Genomic DNA, 19,587 nt, shown 5'->3' on the forward strand with positions numbered 1-19,587 from the left:
GTCCTAGAATGTACACAAAACAGATTCACAGTGAGGCATGTTGACAACTCAGTCCCTACCTAGACTGAATCAGCCTGTGATACCTTTTAAAATAGGAGAAATTTGTCTTCAGTGGTTTCCCTTTCTGTAACCTTTCTCCCTATATCAAGGACCTTGTAAAAATTACATTCAGTACTGAAGCAGAGATGTTGCAAATGAAATTAAATCTACTTTCTGGCCCTTACCACTTAAGCAGATCCAGGTATTTTTGGAATCAGGTTGTCCAATATCATGATCCCACTGGATCCATTTCCAAATGGTAAAAACACACTCCCGTGGGATCCAAAAGCAGTAAAGATATTATTCAGAATGGTTGGCCATGACTTCAGATTTATGAGATGGTATAGACTCCATTTAGGCCATCTACCGTTGGCTCCCTCCCAAGCCAATGTGTTTTCTTTGGGTGCAGCAGTAGGTGGCATTAAAACAAAACTTACTACCAGCAGGTGGTGATGGGAGCTGGAGTTGATTATTTTCGCCCTTCCTAGAAAATGTCACTGAGCTCAGTGAGAAGGACCACAGCCCTGCATTAGGTGACAAGAAAATCTCTCCCTTTTCTACTGTCACAAGGAAAAATCAGCTATCAGACACCCAGTGAGAAAATTACAAATGCCTTTGCATGAATATTGCCATCTTTGGCAGGGGTGAAGGATAGAATGCCAAGCAGAGGGGATGGAAAAGTCAATTCCTGAGATTCCATGCCTGCCCCTGCCCCCTTATAGAGATAGACTAGGAGTGAACATAAATCATTTTAGAGTTCTTGGCCTAGTTGTTTGAATGAGGGGGAATGAGTGAATGGAACTGAACTATATTGAATTTCAAATGCAACAGAAAAACAGAATTTCAGAGCTAGAAAGGACCTTGTGAGCCTATCTTGTTAATCTGTAGGCACCCGGACACATAGGATGTCAGAGCTAGCAAGGATATTAAAAACCATTGATTTCAATACCCTCACTTTTGGATGATGACATTGAGGCTCAAGAGGGAAAAGTAAGTTACTAAAGACATGCAGTTATAAACCACAGAACCATGATTAGAGTCCCTGGTTTATTAACTTCAAATCTTTTTTTCCACTACACTCCTCTCCCTTCTCTACCACCTAGATACCTAATATCTAAACTATCCTAGCAGACAATTTTATATCCTAATTTTTTAAACTCTCCAATAACAGAAATTCTATAGACCCACCTGTGAGAATATATTTATTTCATTGCCATTTATAGTTAGGAATTTCTCCCAAATAGGTAACTCAAAAGCCTCCTACTCCATTCCTTTTTGGTTCTGTCCTTAGTGGAAATGGATCACAGACGTTCACTATTAACAATAACATTTAAGACATGGACAATGTGCATGTATGGGTATGTGTGTGTGTGTGTGCATATATATATATGCACATACACATATACATACATATATATATCTATGTATATGTAACAAGTAATTTGAGCTTCTTTTCTATAGGCTAAATAACTCCTCAGTGGCAAACCAAATCTGAGAAATAGCATCTAGAAAGGAAAACAAGACGTGGGTTTATTTATTTTGTACTTTCTCTGCTACAGCAAAAACTTTGAGCAACAGACTGATCCAGAGGGGGTAATCTAGCATTATAGTAAGAACTACACATCCAAATTTACTAATGCCCAACTAAATCAGACCTCAGGTAATGAGGACTCCTTTGCCAAAACTCAATTTCTAGGAATTATATGCAGATTAAAATAAAATAAGCTAAGGTTAGATATCTACTTTGACATAAAAAACCAGGGCAGGGACTAAATTGATCCTGTATCCTACACTTTCACTATTTCTAGTCTAGGGTAATAAACACTGCTGATCTAAATGGTAACATGATGGTGCAAAAAAATTCAGCAATGGACTGTACTTAGGAGTGCCTTGCAATGGAGTGCAGTTACTTATATATACTTGATTAAAAAATAGCCACTGGCTGGGTGCAGTGGCTGATGCCTGTAATCCCAGCACTTAGGGAGGCTGAGGTGGGAGGATCACTTGAGGCCAGGAGTTTCAGACCAGCCTGGGCAACATATCAGGAGCCCATCTCTATTTTTTAAAATAGGAAAAAACGTAGCCCCCTCCCCTCTCTGTCTCTCTCTCAGAAGACCATCCTTGTCAATGGGATTCTTAGTTTTCAGAGGGAGATGTTTGTAGTGAATAGGGAGATAGGGCTCTCTTGCCTAGAGAACCAGATCAGCTGAATTAACCCTGGAGATGAGTGAGGTGACACGTTGTAGCCAAATTGTGCTCAAACCCTGAGTTTTCCACTGAGGCAAGAAAATTGATTCTGAAATTTAGAAATATTTTCAATAAGTAGCTAGAAAATCTTATTCACTCGAATAACTTAGATGATGAAGAGTCTATAGACTAAGAGTCCAACCTGAATTGCATTGGAAAGAAATAATTCAGTCTAACAACTAGGAAAGCTAATGTAAATTAATTGAGGCAGACGAACTCTTTCATTGAGCTTCTAATGAACTCTATGCCGATGTTGCCCCAACCTGAAACCAAAGTAAGCACGCTTGTAAAGCAAAGCTACTCACGGCAATAAGCTGATAGGAGTTGTTCATCATAGCAATCAGCATGTTCAGCAGCACTACCAGGGAGATGACATTGTATGTTCCAAACATGGTAGCTCCTACAAACTCGGTGAATTCGTGTCTGGCTTTCACATTGGTGACATATAGATTTAAAAGGCCAAATACAGACCAGAAGAGTGACTGAAGAGTCTCAAAGAGCCTAAAAGAGATCAAAGAGCAGGTTAGTTAATTCTTTAAGAAGAGCAAGAAAAGAGAGAGAAAATGTAAGGTGATCTGCTTAACGAAGGGGCTGCCAGATCTGTGACAGATAAACTGGTGATCTCACATATTTTGGGCTCTTCCCTAACACAGACTGACCATCCATGTCCATTTGTTTGTTTGTTTCCACTTCTATGTCTTATGCTTTGCTTTTCTACCTGAAATACCATTCCCTCTTCTCAGTGTATGCATAGCCTAAAATTTTTCAAGGCTTATTTCAAGAGCTATTTCCTCTACCAAACTTTGTCTTTTGTCTTCAGACCATGTTATTTTTTTACCATTCTAATTATGCAGAGGCAATACATGCAGTGGTTAAGAATATGGTGCTTGAGGCCAGGAGTGGTGGCTCACGCTTGTAATCCCAGCACTTTGGGAGGCCGAGGCGGGTGGATCACAAGGTCAGGAGATCGAGACCATCCTGGCTAATACGGTGAAACCCCGTCTCTACTAAAAATACAAAAAATTAGCCGGGCATGGTGGCGGGCGCCTGTAGTCCCAGCTACTCGGGAGGCTGAGGCAGGAGAATGGTGCTTGGGTTAGATTGCACTGGGTTAGGATCTCAGTTCTGGCATTTGCTGGCTGAGTGAACATGAGAACAAATTACCATTTCTGATACTTCTTTTGTGGCTCTCACAGGACCCAGATAACTCTAAACTGCATGGAGGAGCTTGAGGATTCTCAAATTAACACTTTATACAGATAATTGTTAATGATATATTAACCAACTGTTATTGAGGCTTTTGAGAACTCAACTATTATTGAGAACTTATAAGCATGTTAGGTACTTTTACATACATACATTATCATTATGATCCTTGTAAAATTTTATTGTTACTGATGACGAAACAGAGATTCAGAGACTGAATGACTTGCCCAAGGACACCTTACTAGTATGTTTTGAGCCAGATCTCAAATCTAGGTCTGTCTGCCCTTCCAAAACCACTATATTGATGGCTTCTCAAATTATTATTTCCTCTCTTAGACTTCACATCCAAACATGTAACTGCAATGATATCCTTTTGGTGTCTAGGGTTTCTTTTGCTTTATATTCAGAAATCTGAATACAGCAATAAAATGCAGCCAGTTCGTGGGTGGCAGAGATTAGCCATTGCCCAAGCCTATGGAAACCATGCAGAACATAAGAAATGCTACTTTAAGAATGGATGCATTTTTCAGTGTGCTCAAAATGTGTCGTTCTTAATGAGCACAATGTATTTTGAGAGTCTTAGGGATTTGTTCTTCGGTTCATTTTAGAGGTGGGTGAGAGGTACTTTAAGGAGTCCCTCTGTCTGAAAGTGCTCTGCCCCCTGATCTTTACACAGCTGCCTTCTTATCATCAAGGTCTCAGCTCAAATGTCACTTCTTCAGAGAGGCTTTTCTTGGTTGCTCTACCTAATGTAGCTCCATCAGTTTTTCTCTATCCTATTGTCTTGTTTAATTTTCTTTGTAGCACTTGAAGCTTCATAAAATTATATTAGGTAATTTTTGGTTTAAATGGTTATTTTCCGTCCCTCTCTACTATAATGTAAGCTCTATGGAGGCAGAGACATAGCTGCTAGGTAGCTGGCACATAATAGGGACTAAATGACATTTATTGAAGAAATGAATGAATATATGAAAACTATTACTATTACTGTTATCATTAGATTAAAGTGGAGAAGATTCCAATCCCATTGACAATTTTGCAGTCAGTAGGCTGCACAAAAAGGGCTAGTTTATTTTGTTTAAGGCTGTGCTCTCCACTGGCCTGACTCTCAAGGGCCCTTTTCAGGGCTGCCTGGGCAATGTGCACATGGCCCTTCTCAACTTGCTAAGTGGCTCTTCTCTGATTATCATAGATAAATTCCATGATCTTTTCAGCATCACGCTGCTAGAGAGCTAGCCTAAAAGGAATAAATTTGCTTTTTGTTTGGTGAAAGTAAATGCCAGCTGGTGAAGCAGTTGAGAATCAAAAGTAAGATGAGAGTCTGGAGTTCAGGGGCCAGGGCACAAGAACCAGACAATATGGCAAGTCAGACCTATCACAGGATCTAAATTTTCAGGAGACTCTACCAGCCAGGGCCAGGCAATACAATGCATCGCAGAACCAGGCAGAGGGTTGAAAAATGAGGAAGACATGGGGCTAAGTAATCTGGCCCCTGCTAGGAGGGCACAGTCAACACCTGATGATGCCTATTAGATACCAGAAATCAGGCAGGCAGGAGGCCAGCAGTAAATAGCACAAGCAGCTAGCACAGCTGCTAGGTAACAGAAGCCAGGGCAGATTGTAGTTCAGAATTTTAAAGAGCAGCTGCAGTGAGTAGGAATGTCATTCTGAGGAACCAGAGTCCCTGGAAGCTGAATGACCTTGAACACAGAATGCATTCAGTAAGTGTTTGTTGATTTCCTGACAGACAATAAGGCCACAAACTAGGGCAAATATGTAATCAATATGTTGGTAGAGTCTTAGTTAATTGGTTGCTTCTCCTGAATAGATGTTACCTTCACCTCTACCCCTACAACAATTAAAATTGCAATGGCTTATGCTTGAGGATAGAGTTTATTGCTAGTTGTTCCACTGACAGATACAAACGTTCCCTAAAAGTAAAAGTCTGAGCATTTAAAATCTTCGCTCAGCCAGGCATGGTGGCTCATGCCTATAATCCCAGAGCTTTGGGAGGCAATATTGGAAGGATTACTTGAACCCACGAGTTTGAGACCAGCCTGAGCAACATAACAAAGCCCCGTTATCAAAAAAAAAAAAAAAAAAAGCCAGGTATGGTGGCATGTGCCTGTAGTCTCAGCTACGTGGGAGGCTGAGGTGGGAGGATTGCTTGAGCCCAGGAATTTGAGGCTGCGGTGAGCTATGATCATGCCACTGCACTCCAGCCTGGGTGACAGGGCTAGACCCTGTCTCTCTCTACATATGAGTAAATAAATAAATAATAAACAAACAAAGAATGCATGCATAAATAAATAAATAAATCTGCCTTCAACTCTGCTGATATTCTAGTCAGGGAAACGTTATGGATAAAATTGTACAACAGGGGAAAATGGGGAGGGATAGGAAAGATCATTCCTCCGTTTTGGTGGTTGGTAGTGAGAATGTCCTCAACATGTTCCTCAAAATATTACAGTGTGGTCCGGTCATCAGGAGAAGCTGGCCTGCTGAAAAGCATGCCCAGGTAAAATGAGGGACTGTCATGTGAGGTGGAAAAGAATATTCTGGTGAGACATCTGCTGGAGGTTCTGTGGCTTCTAGACTCGGTTTAATACACAGGGAAAGGGCCACCACTGGTGGTGGTGGGGGTGTACTACTTGGTGCTGGGTCTATAATAAAGTCATCACAGGGATGGAAAGACTTGTTGACAAACCATGGAATCTTAATAACAAAGGACTATCTTTTCAATTTTAAAGAGGGATTATTTTAGAAAAAAGCAACTAGTCCATTTTTATTTAGCAGAGAGTAAACAAACATATGGAACTTGCTAGCTCAAGAAGAGGCATAGACTGAAGATACAAAGATTCAAGAAAACTTGATATTAAATGCACAGAAGACAAATCCATAACAGGTGGTTAAGGGAGAACTTGCACATGTTGGGAGCCATCCACAAATAGATCACAAAGCTAAGAGGGGTAAAGTAGAACAGAGATGGGAACTCAGTCCTCTGAATATTTGCCGAAAGTCTCATCTTTGAGATGAGGAATTACCCTTTCAAAAAGTAGAAAGAGTATGGAGAGGATTTACTTCTCTGGACCTAATTCAGACCAACAAAGAAGAACTAGAGGGTGAACTCGAAGTTAAAGGCTTGTTGGGAGAAAGCAGGGACATCATCCTATATTTCCCAAGTTGTATGTTGATAGCCTAAATGGAGCAAAAGCTGTAATCCCAACACAGGTGACCCTTTGGTATCACCCTTACCCATTCCACAGTTCCCTGGACCTGCTATTTCTCATTCCACTATGCCTTTGACAAGCTCCTGTCTCTGGATAGGATACCCTCACCTTGCCCCAACCTCTAGCTTCTACTTCTTTCCTTTCTCCTTTTCTGTCTAATTCTTGTTTGACCTTTGAGGCTCAGTTGAAGCCCCACCTCCTCTAGAAGCCTGCCCCAACTCCTTTCCTACAAGGCTGGGTTAGATGCTCCTCTTTTTTGCTCCCATAGCACCCAAGCCTTGTTCCATAAATGCACAAATCACACTGTAGAGGCAATAGAGGAGAGTGCCTAAGCGAGAACTTTAGACCCCGCCATTTATTAAATGACATTGGGAAAGTTACATAGCCTCTTTCAACTTCAAGTTTTCCTCATCTCAAAAATGATTCTTGGTAAGATAAATACTAATTGCTAACATTTATTGTGCTCTTACTATATGCCAAGCATTGTGCTAAGTGCTTTGCATATACAGTTGTCCCTCGATATCTGCAAAGGGTTGGTTCCAGGACCTCCTACAGATACCCAAATCCATGGGTGCTCAAGTTCCTTATATAAAATGGCATAGTGTTTATGTATAACGTAAGCACATATCCTCCCATATACTTTTTCATTTTTATTTTTATATTTATTTATTTATTTATTTTTAGAGAAAATATCTCACTCTGTTGTCCAGGCTGGAGTGTGGTGGCACAATTATTGCTCGCTGCAGTTTTGAACTCCTGGGCTCAAGTGACCCTCCTGCCTCAGTCTCCTGAGTAGGTAGGACTATAGGCATGCATCACCACACCCAGCTAATTTTTTTCAAAATGCGGTGGCTCACACCTACAATCCCAGCACTTTGGGAGGCCAAGTTGGGTGGATCACGAGGTCAGGAGATCGAGACCATCCTGGCTAACACGGTGAAACCCCATCTCTACTAAAAATACAAAAAATTAGCCGGGCATGGTGGCGGGCGCCTGTAGTCCCAGCTACTCGGGAGGTTGAGGCAGGAGAATGGTGTGAACCCGGGAGGTGGAGCTTGCAGTGAGCCGAGATCGTGCCACTGCACTGCAGCCTGGGTGACAGAGCGAGACTCCGTCTCAAACAAAAACAAAAACAAAAACAAAAGAACAATTTTTGGAGAGACAGGTGTCTTGCTATATTGCCCATGCTTGTCTTGAACTCCTAGCCTCAAGTGATCCTCCTGCTTCAGCCTCCCAAAGTGTTGGAATTACAGGCATGAACCACCATGCCTGGCCCATTCCATATACTTTATATCATCTCTAGATTACTTATGATAGCTAATACAATGAGAATGCCATGTAAATGGCTATATTTATATTTATAGCATGTAAATGCTATATTGTATTATTTAGAGAATAATGACAGGAAAAAAAGTCTGTACATATTCAGTACAGATGCAACCATTCATTTTTTAAAAAATATTTTTGATCCACGGATGATTGAATCCATGGATGCAAAAGACATAGATATGAAGGGTTGACTATATTATATTTGGCTATACGTCTATAAAGTAGAGACTATTGTTCTTCTATTTTTCAGATGAGATACTGAGGCACAGAGTGGTCACACAGGCAGGCAGTATCAGAGGTAGAGTTTGTACCCAGCTCTTTTGACTCTGAAGCCCACACACATAGCCTTATAACTGTATCACCTAAGATACTGCATGTAAAGTGCTCAGCACTTTAAAGTACTTTGCATATGGTAAGCATTAATAATAGCAGCTATTCTAATTGTTCATTTGCGTTCCCCATTAGACTATGAACTTCTTAAAGATAAGGATTCCATCTTCCTTGGTATCCTCATTGCCTGGTACATAGGAATTGTTGAAGAAATGTTTATTGAAGGAGTCTATAAAAGATGACAGGAGAAACACATAACCAAGAAAAGTACAAACGAGTAGCAGCATCCTGTGATAATAGCATCAGGAAGGATATGGACTGGAATTAGGAGGAAAAGCCAGAGATAACCAATAAGAACCTTTATGACCTGACCAGAACAAAAAGAAGAGTGTTTGATGGGAACTACGTGTGTATCCATGTTAACAAGATAGGAAAATATTGGCTGAATGATGGGTGGAGAAATCACCACTGATTAAGTAGAAGTAGCTGCAAATGAATGGTAATAGCCTTGAAGGAGGTCACAGTGGCCTGCTAGGTCATGGCTCTGTCCTTTTTCGCTTTTCGTGTGTTCATGATTATTGCAGCTGTATACAACAAATCTTACGTACCTTTACAAAACCAGTCTTACACCTGTATCCCTAGGTAAAAGTACAGACTGGAGCTTGTATGCCTAGATTGAAATCCTGTCTTTGCTACTTACCATCTATGCAACTCGGGACAGCCTGATTAACTGCGTTGTACTCTAGTTTCCCTATCTGTAAAATGGATAATAACAACACTGTCTACCTGATAGCATGGCAGTGAGGATTACATGAGTTAATTCACGAAAAGCTGATTTGTAATAGTGCCTGTTCCTAGCACGCAGTAAATATTGATTATTTTCATTATTATTATTAAACGTTCCACCTTGTTATTTTACATTCCTTTGTCTTTATAGATTATTATTCATTTGAATGTCTAATTGTACATAGTTGCAATCATAGTTTATACAATCTCTGGTGTTTGTTTGTTTGTTCTTGAGACAGAGTCTCCATGCGATGCCCAGGCTGGAGTGCAATGGCACAATCTCAGCTCACTGCAATCTCCACTTCCCGGGTTCAAGTGATTCTCCTGCCCCAGCCTCCTGAGTAGCTGGGATTACAGGTTCATGCCACCATGCCTGGCTAATTTTTGTATTTTTAATAGAGACGGGATTTCGCCATGTTGGCCAGGCTGGTCTCAAACTCCTTACCTTAGGTGATCCACCTGCCTCGGCCTCCCAAGGTGTTGAGATTACAGGCATGAGACACCACGCCCAGCCTGGGATTGATCTATTGATCTATCTATAGCTCTATCTATCTATCTATCTATCTATCTATCTATCTATCTATGTGTGTGTGTATATATGTATGTGTGTATATATATATATTTTATATATATATGTATATATATATATATGTATATTTTAGATGGAGTCTCGCTCTGTTGCCCAGGCTGGAGTGAAATGGAGCCATCTTGGCTCACTGCAGTCTCTGGCTCCCGGGTTCAAGCGATTCTCCTGCCCCAGCCTCCCAAGTAGCTGGGATTACAGGTGCCCACCACCACACCTGGCTGATTTTTGTATTTTTAGTAGAGACGGGGTTTCCTCATGTTGGCCAGGCTGGCCTCGAACTCCTGACCTCAAGTGATCTGCCCGGTTTAGCCTCCCAAAGTGCTGGGATTACAGGCATGAGCCACAGCGCCCAGCCCACTTTCTGTAATTTTTAAAAATTTACACATTTTGGGTTTAGAAACTTTTTTATGTATATACAGAGTCTTCATGTGTATCATTTTAATAGCTGCCCAATATTCCACCCAGCAAATACCAAGCCTGCCTGACAGTTTTTTCAACGCTTTGGATGGAAATCGATGGCATGCTTCTTAGATCTTCAGATGACACAAGACTAGAGGGAAAGCTAATAAACTGGATGACAGGATAAAGACTCAGAAAGACTTCAACACCTTGGAGCAAGGGGCTGGAACTAATAAGATGAAATATATAGGGATCAATGTAGAGCTTTGCTCTTGGGCCAAGTGCCCAAGTACAGGATGAGAGAGGTAGGAGAAAGGCCAAGGGTTTTTGCTGAAAGCAAGCTCAAAGTGGATCAGTAGAGTGACAGAGTTGGCCAGATACTCCAGTCATCCTGGGGGGGCAGGGTGGGCAGAAGCAGAAGTAGATTATCTATAATTAAAGACAAGATTACTCTTAGGCCCATGTATGTTGCTGCAAATGGCTTGCACATAAAACTGGTGAAATCTGAATGAGGCCACTGGATTTTATCAGTGTTGATTTCCTGGTTGTGATAATGTACTACAGCTATGCAAGATGTTATGCCTGGGAAAAATGGGTGAAGGATTTACAGATTTCTTTCTCTATTATTTCTTCCGATTACAATGTAACTACAATTATCTCCAAATAAAAAGCTTAAAAAGATAGGATTGCTTTTGGACGTCATCTTTGTCTTTTCACTCAATTGTTCAGTAGCCATGTTGAGCACCTTTATATCTTAGGCCCCTCTATGGCAGATGCAAAGCTTACTAAGATGGGAGTCTCAGTCTGGTGGGAGAGAGAGGCACAGATGTCTGAAATACAACAGTTTATGTAACATAATGGAGATGTGTTTAGAATGCCATGGGAAACATGCATTCTAGAAGAAGCCTGCAGCTGAGAGTGGGGTTAGAGTGGATAAGAAAGGCTTTAGAGCAGGTAGCCCTTTGGCAGCAGTTGGAAAGATGGGTATGAGTTTGCCAGGCTGGCTAGGTGAGGATGGGTATTCCATTCAGAGGTAATGGCATGCGATGTACAAAGGTCTGAAGGGCTGAGACACTTTCCTGTAGTTGGAGAACAGCAAAATGTTGACAAAGGAGGAGAGCAGTAAAAGACTGGAGAGGCAAGAGTCAGATTACCAAGGCCCTGTGTGTTATGGTAAAGGGGCAGGATTTTATGGAGAAGATTCAGATATTCTGGCAGGCATGAAGCCAGTGGGAGCCAGGATGCAACAGGTATTTAGAAAGAAACTTCCGCACAGCAAGTAGGAGAGTGTTTGGAGAGAAGACCAGATTGGAGGCAGAGAGACCAGTCAAGAGTCTGTTGCCACAGTCCTTGGGAGAAATGATTTAGGCCTGAACCAAGACAGTGGGATGAGTGTGTGTGTGTGTGTGTGTGTGTGTGTGTGTGTGTGTGTGTGTGTATGTGAGAGAGAGAGAATGAGAGAGAGACAGAGAGAGAAAGAGAGAGAGGTATTCAAGGGATACTTCGGAAGTAGAACTGATAGGGCTGAGTGACACACTTGATGATGTGTTTCATGAGGGAAGGTGTAAGAGTCCCATATGACTCCTAGGAATCTGGTTAGTGTCATTTAATGAGATGAGGAATTAAAGGGGATATAGGTTGGAAGTGAAGATACGGAGAAAAGGAATAAGGAATTTAGTTGTGGACATCCTGTATTTGAGGGGCCTGTGAAACAGCCAGGTATATTCAGGAGGCATCAGGAGATGAGGGCTGGATCAAATTAGCTTCTTTTTCTCTCACAAGTCCTTTGTCTTCAGAATGATAATGTCTTTCTAATTGCTTCTCTTGACAGCAGGTGAAGGCCACGTATTCCCAGTATGCAATACCAAACTCAAACCCCCAGCTGTACTGTCATGTGGTTGTCAGCAAGGACAATGAGTTTCCCTTAAATTGTATGCCTGAGGAGAAGATTGTTTTTCTCTTTTTTCTTTCTTTCTTTCTTTTTTTTTTTTTTTTGGAGACGGAGTTTTGCTCTTGTTGCCCAGGCTGGAGTGGAGTGCAATGGCGTGATCTCGGCTCACTGCAACCTCTGCCTCCTGGGTTCAAGCGATTCTCCTGCCTCAGCCTCCCAAGTAGCTGGGATTACAGGCATGTGCCACCACACCCGGCTAATTGTGTATTTTTAGTAGAAACAGGGTTTCTCCATGTTGGCCAGGCTGGTCTTGAACTCCTGACCTCAGGTGATCTGCCCACCTTGGCCTCCCAAAGTGCTGGGATTATAGGTGTGGGTCACCGCGACTGGCCTGTTTTTTTCTTTTTTTATGTGGAAGAAAAGCAATGGCATCTCTGGAGAATCAGAAGGAAAAGGATAACAATAAGCAGGTACCAAACTTTCCACCAGATACATAAACAAACTATCCCCTTCTCTAAAAGCAGAATCTTTCTATCTCCCTGGCTGAGTAACGTGTATTTTAACAGGTATGATAAATGCCTGAGGCCGGGTGCAGTGGCTCAGACCTGTAATCCCAGCACTTTGGGAGGCTGAGACGGGTGGATCACCTGAGGTCAGGAGTTCGAGACCAGCCTGGGCAACATGGCAAAACCCCATCTCTACTAAAAATATAAAAACTAGCCAGGCATGGTGGTGGGCACCTATAATCCCAGCTACTCAGGAGGCTGAGGCACAAGAATCGCTTGAACCTGGGAGAGAGAGGTTGCAGTGAGCTGGGATCACGCCACTGTACTCCAGTCTGGGTGACAGAGCAAGACTCCATCTCAATAAATGAATGAATGAATGACTGAATCCCTGAGTTGAGGCCTTTAAAAGAAAACATAAATATGAGTCAACCTTCTACGGAGGAAAAAACATCAACTGATAGAGGGAAAGTTGAGGTAACATTACTGCTGATTTGGCCCCACCATGACAATGCTTCTTCACACCCCAAGATATAATTTTATGTATGACAGGTGCCCATTCTTTTCAATTGTCCCTGCTAGGCAAGTGATAGGAGCAAAATGTCAGTTGGCAACAGGGGTGTTAATAATCATTACAAACTTGCAAGGAGGCATTTCATAAATTTCCTCAGCAGAGTACACATGAAAGCATAATTGGCAAGGACCTGACCTCCTGAAAGGCACCTCTCATTCATGTATCTAATTCTGTTGAACACTTTGATGGGAACAAATGCAGTCTCCTGGTGCTCAGGCCACTACACAATTGCTCTTTATGTTGAAAACAGGTTGCTGTGAGTTCTGTCTCTAGAGTAATGCAGGAGAGGAAGCCATTCCTAGTCAACAGGCACTAGCGAGCTGATAAGCTGCTGTTATACACTCCTGGTTGGCTTAACCAAAATAGCACTATCTCTTTGTCAACCCATTTTGGACCCCTTCTCCTTGCACATTAATCTGGTTTCCACACCCAAGATTTAGCCCTGAGTTTCAGGAAGAGAGACAAGGAGCATGGCCTAGTGCAGGAGGTTTAATCATAGATTCCATTCTCCTGTCTATTAACATGCCACTGAGCTGTGGTTTGTGAGAATCCATTTTAGGAAATGCTGCTAGAGACAAATAACAAGAATCAGCTAGATAGCACTGTTTTGTTTTGTTTTGTTTTGTTTTTTTCTCTATCACTGCAACAGTCCTTTTTTTCTCTGGCCTTTGTTATGGAGCACATTTCTAGAATGTCCAAGTCCACTGAACTGTGTTGGTTTATGGCGTTATAAGGAAAAAATTGTATCTTAGTTTAATGACTAAGAATCTTGTATGATCTTGGGGTCATTGCTATGAATATCCAGTGATGAGTTGCACTCTCCCGAAGTAGGGGTGGAGATGGACAAGATGTAGAACACTGAGTTCAGGGTCAGCCCAGGACAGCTCCTAACAGCCTGACATGTACTTATTTGTTTTCTCTTGTCTATTTCCCCTGGCATTGATTTATCAGAAAATAAAAGCCGTTCTGAAGGCTTGAAGGTCCCCCAAAAAGTAGGTCTTGACAGTACTAAGCAAAGGCACAGGAGTTCCATGTGTTCAGAGGCAGTGGACTCGTGGACAGAATCATGAGTTATCTCTTGTGTCCTGAGACATTTCCAATTAGTGCTGGGTGACACTTGGCCCACCTGAAACCTTAAATTAATGTAACAGGAGAGTGGATTCTAGTCCTACCTTCAGCCTGTCCCCTCTCGAGATTACACCTATGAATGGGGGTGCATTAAGATATGTTTGCATCCTTCCTTGATTCACAATAGTAAAGTTAGCTTTGGTAGCCACTCGTTCAGAGGAATAGCTTTGCTGTTTCATTACCTTGGTGCCACATTTCGAGTGAGGAATTATCTACCTCACCCCAATTAATTCTTTTAAAAATATGTAATGCTACCAACATAGTTCAGAACCAACTCTTTAGATGACTTCCTGGGATCTCATGTGTGTGCTTGTTTCTTTCCTACCTCACCTAACTTCACTTCATCCCCTAGTACCCTGTAGCAAGAGAAGAACATTCCTCCACCTCTGACCCTTCGGGTGGATCCACAGTGAGCACTGCCTTCACAGTCAAGTGGCAGTGATGAAGCTGTAGGCTGAAAACAGGACAAAAATGGAGAAGGCGGAAAAAATGGCAAAAAAAAAAATAAATAAATAAAGGAAAGGGGATCGTCTTACGTGGAGAAGGCATTGTTCTGTTTCTCACATCGGATCCCCTTGCAGTTGTTAGGCTCATCGATAGCTCTGGTTTCATAATAGAAGTAAAGCTGGTTCAGTCCATTGGCAAAAGCTAGTAGTACCAGGCAGTAGATAAAGAGGAATTTGAGGATATCAAGCAGCATGCGTCCCAAAGAGATCTGCAGAGGTCCTAAGTGGGAGTTGGCTGTGAACAGGGATATGAGACGCAACGAACTTAAAATGTTGGATATTGCGAAGAGTGCTTCCGCAATCAGAGTCGGGTGCCACATTTCCCATTCCTCCCTTGGACGAGAACCATTATACTGAAAGAAACAACAAGTGCACAAGATGAGGGGTACAGTGAACATTTATAAAACTTTCCCTTTTTTCCTTGCTTCCATACCCAAACAAAGCCACCAAAATATGCATCAAGCATTCATTATGCAACAGGCCCCATGCATGACACTATTTGTCTTTCTTGCCCCACCCAATTAACATGTGCTGCTAACAACTCTCTTCCTCCCACTCCCATCCACGTCTATACCTGGGATGTACACATAGAAGAATAAATTTTAGATCAATCATCTGCAGCAACCACCTGTGGCTTATCAACAGACATTTTCTAACTGTGGGTTTAACAGATTGTTGGGGAGTGTCACTGAAACAGAGGCACTAGTATGCCCAAGATAGTGGGGAAAAATCACCCTGCTTCCTAAAGATTTCAAGCCAAATGTACTTCCTCAATCCCTCACTGGGCTCTGAGCACCATGGACAACGTGCTGTTACTGAAAGACAAGGAGTAGACGCAGCCTTCTCGGTATGCAGTGTTCATTCTCACTCCCTTGCTGACTGCAGTTTGGGGCTGATGGAGGATCCTTAGGGAGCCATTCACTGGAGCTTTCTGCTGAATTTTTAGCAGGCTGTAATGTATTCTACATTACTGCAAATGGCATGTCAACCTTTCAGGTAATGAATTTAGTACTGCCCCATACAGTGGTGTATGGTTGTATTTTACAGTTCATTTGACAACTCTGTAAGTTAGAATGTTCCTTTAGCACACATGAAGAACCAGGGGCTTGAAGGAGGGGAAGAACCAATATTTATTGGGTTGGTTACCCATCCCAGGTTTCCAGCCCCCGGCATATTAGGAGTAGCCTTGTAGAAAGATGACTTCATTGTGAGATCTGAGCTCCAATTTGGGCATTGTCACTTAAAACTGCCTGTATCTTTTAATTTCACCACAAAATGAGGATAATGCCTCCTACCCACTGCACATGTTTGTGATTCTGTATCCATATGCAAAAGTCTGTGTACTCCATAAGTGGAGATGTTATGGAAATACAAGGAATTACTTATTACCTTCCCAGGACAGAAGTAGATTTTGCCTGGAATTTAATTTGAAGCATATTGCCTTGAGCTCACATTTAAATATCACAATTTCTCAGGACTAAATGTAAACAACTTTCCTGAGAAAATGTTGCATTGGGGGCCAAATTATATTGTTAGCATTTCTAAAATGTGCTTCAGTTCCAACAACTGAGGAAACTGGTGCGTTTAAAATCACTTGTGTGTATCCAATATTCTTCTCTGTCAGAGGAGCTTGGAGAAACTGTGCCACATTTGTGCTTCTGCTTCGGATAGACTTTTAGGCGGCCAATCAGTTTTACGTACTCTTGGCCAAATCTTATATTTCTACATTTTTCCTCCCCCAACAAACATGCACTGCATTACTGTGAGGGGTAGGAATGGTTATGCCTGTTTTACAAATGGAGGAAGTCCAGATAGGCAGAGTGACTTGCTAAAGATCACACAGCAAGTCGGTGGCAGAGCCAGCAAGAAGTTATCCACGGGTCTCCAGACACTCAGTCTAGCACTATTTCTATTAAATGTTACTTATATGATAGTTGATATCACAGCACAGATGATAGATCAGCCTTTAAAGGTTTGAGGTATATGTGAAAGATAGTCTCTTTGCTGATAACAAAACAGACCTATGTTTTAAAACTAGAAATCAACAACTGGAACATGTATAGCTCATAATTTGGGATTTTCTCTCTCCTCATCCAGAACTGTAACCTCAGGGATGTCTGTTGCCCATGGGATGGTGAATCTGAATTTGTGGAACACTCAGAAGTGTAAAACATGATTCTCATGGCAAATCTATACTTTGAACATAGATACTTTGCACCTTTGGAGAAAGATATAGTATGTATGTGCAGGGAATAAACATGGAGCTCATCTAGCATAGAGGTTGGCAAACTTTCTGTCAAGAATCAGATAGTACATATTTTTGGCTTTGTGGGCTCTATGGTTCCCATCACAACTACCCAATGCTTCCTTTGTAATCCTAATGGAGCCCTAGACAATATACAACCACAAGGACATGGCAGAAGGCCAGGTTTGGCCCACAGACCATAGTTTGCTGACCCCTGATCTAACACAGTCGTTTTAAACTGTGTTCCTTAGAGCCTGGGGGTTCAATGGAGGCATCTCATAGCTACTGTGGGAGCCAAAGTGGAGACTTAGAAGACTCATTCTTCAAGCCAAACTCAGTCCTTTGGGCTTTTTATATATTGGATTACTGTGTGAGTTTTTGCTTAAAGATGTGGTACCATGGGAAAAAATTTTTTAAAAGGTTGAGCACCACTGATCTAGTTTAACCTACTGCTTATTTATCAGAGGCAGAATCTACAGCTCAGAAAGGTAGAGGGATTGCCCATGGTAACCCTGCTCATGAGTATCAGATTGGGAATTAAATTCAGATCTCCTGACTCTTGAGTTAGTTGTTGTTGGAGGCAAATGATTTTTCTTACATCCTTTGAAATGGAATGCAGTTAGAAAATTGGCCTCCTTGCCTTTCAAAGGATGTAAATTGCATTTTATAAACCCTAAAGCAAAATATGAAGAGGAACAGCCTAATGTGGGGACTCAATAGTAATAAGAATTTGAGGGGGGTGTTATTATGTCTTTAGCTAAGCACTGACTGAAGGAAAGGCCATAACTCAGTGGGTAGCATAGTCCAGATTTACTTGGCACACATGGAAGCGAAGCAGTGGTGGAATAGATCTAGGTGGTACTATCCTAGAAAAGCAAAGAATGGTTATACTCCATTTGTAGAATCATCTGGGGGCAATGAGGGTCAATCTTATATATATTTGTTCCTTTTGAGTACTTTGGTGTGTACCTTTTGGTACTTGCTTTAGATCATGTGAAGTGGAATAGATATTGTTGACTAATTTTGCACTCTAATAAAATAAAGGATCTTTAAAAACAGCTCATTCCTTGGTGCTTCTGTACTGCTTCAGTACAATGGTGATTGAAAACATTTCAAGGAGCCTATGTCGCAGTTCTTATGGCTTTGTGTCATAGAAGTTGGCTCAGCCTGCTTGGGGAAGGTCATCCAGCCTGGACTTCTGTGGATGGGTAGACCTGATTATCCCCATTTATAAATTCTCATTACAAATCCAAATTTTGCATGTGGCCTGTCTTGCTTTATAAATTCTTTTTTGGGAAGGACTCCAACTTCTTGGCAAAGGTCTCCTTTGAATAAAGTGTTTGCCAGTTAAGGGGCATTTACCCAGCTTAATAGAGCAGATTTATCCTTATACTTTGTGATGGAGAAGTATCTAACTCTTTGGAAGCCTCTCCAGTAAAGTTGGACAGGTTATGTGATTAGCTAATGTTGAGAATCTACAGATACGTTTTTCACATCCCCAAATGTTAATCCTTTTCTTCATCATTTATTCTAAGCTTTCCTGTTTAAACAAAACCCACCAATTTCTAGATTGATAATGTAAGGTCCCTCCAGTGTATAAATACCATTTCCAAAGGAAGAACTTTTCCCTTTACTTTACAGTGTTACTTAGTCAGCAGAGTGCCAGAATGACATGGATTTCACCCAGGCACATTAACCAGGGATTCAAACATTTTCCTCACCAGCTTTTTCTCTTAAGGAAGTTGTAAGTATGTGTTAAATGATCACCACATGTATAGGGCCTACTCTTGGGCTCTTTTCAAAAATGTTTCATGACTGCATTCAATATGCATGCTCTACATAACTCCCAAGGTCTTAAAATTTATGCAATATGCATATTAGGGATACAAAAATAAACTAAGTTGTTGGAGATTTGGGGGACAGCCATATTTCCATTCTAAAAGTCCTTAATGTGGAATTTAGTGCCAAAAAGCATGACTGACTATACAATCTTGGAGACTGAATTGTCAGCCTTTTCTCATGGAGAAGTTTAACTCAGGCTACAAGGAGGACAGCAATCCCATTATTTAATAAGCACCAGACCTGAACTCAGAGCCTCTGATTACCCAAAGTAAGATGTCAAACATGAAGCTATTTTCAGGATAATTCGAGCTGAATGTTGTGTGGGAAAAGTATTAAGGTGGTGTGTGTGTGTGTGTGTGTGTGTGTGTGTGTGTGTACATTATCTGAATTGGTAGAGAAGCACAGGTTGGGTGATACTAAAAATGCTGGATTTATAACTGCTCGAGTGATTATTCTGGTGGTGGAAGTGATGAGAAAGGAAGGGGCTATTAAAAGTCTGTGCCACCTGTAGTCAAGTTTCTGGGATTCTGCTACTTGTCATTATATGAAGAACAGTTGAGATAAATGGGAATGTTTAGCTTTGAGAAGAGACAACTCAGAGGGTTAGGGAGAGATGGCATCATATCAGAAGCACTGTTAGGAAGAAACAGTCTTGTTCTGTATGACTCCACAGGGAGGAAGAATTACTAATGATTGTGTCACAGAGAGAATAATATTAGACGTATATAAAGTAGTCCTTTTTAATG

The 19,587-nt window shown here is 41.5% G+C and overlaps 1 protein-coding gene across 3 annotated transcripts in view; it reads right to left on the minus strand.

Annotated features, from left to right (window-relative positions):
• The window catches only part of TRPC5 (transient receptor potential cation channel subfamily C member 5), a 314,766-nt gene that overhangs the window by 64,319 nt on the left and 230,860 nt on the right, over positions 1 to 19,587 (minus strand). For all 3 annotated transcript variants that reach the window (NM_012471.3, XM_017029774.2, XM_047442413.1), the window contains 2 exons: positions 14,785 to 15,107; positions 2,592 to 2,787 (listed from right to left, as the gene is read on the minus strand). In NM_012471.3, coding sequence (NP_036603.1) covers positions 2,592 to 2,787; positions 14,785 to 15,107 — 519 coding nt within the window. The remainder of the gene's footprint in view (positions 1 to 2,591; positions 2,788 to 14,784; positions 15,108 to 19,587) is intronic.

Source organism: Homo sapiens, chromosome X, assembly GCF_000001405.40.
Source record: "Homo sapiens chromosome X, GRCh38.p14 Primary Assembly".
NCBI classification, from domain to species: domain Eukaryota; kingdom Metazoa; phylum Chordata; class Mammalia; order Primates; family Hominidae; genus Homo; species Homo sapiens.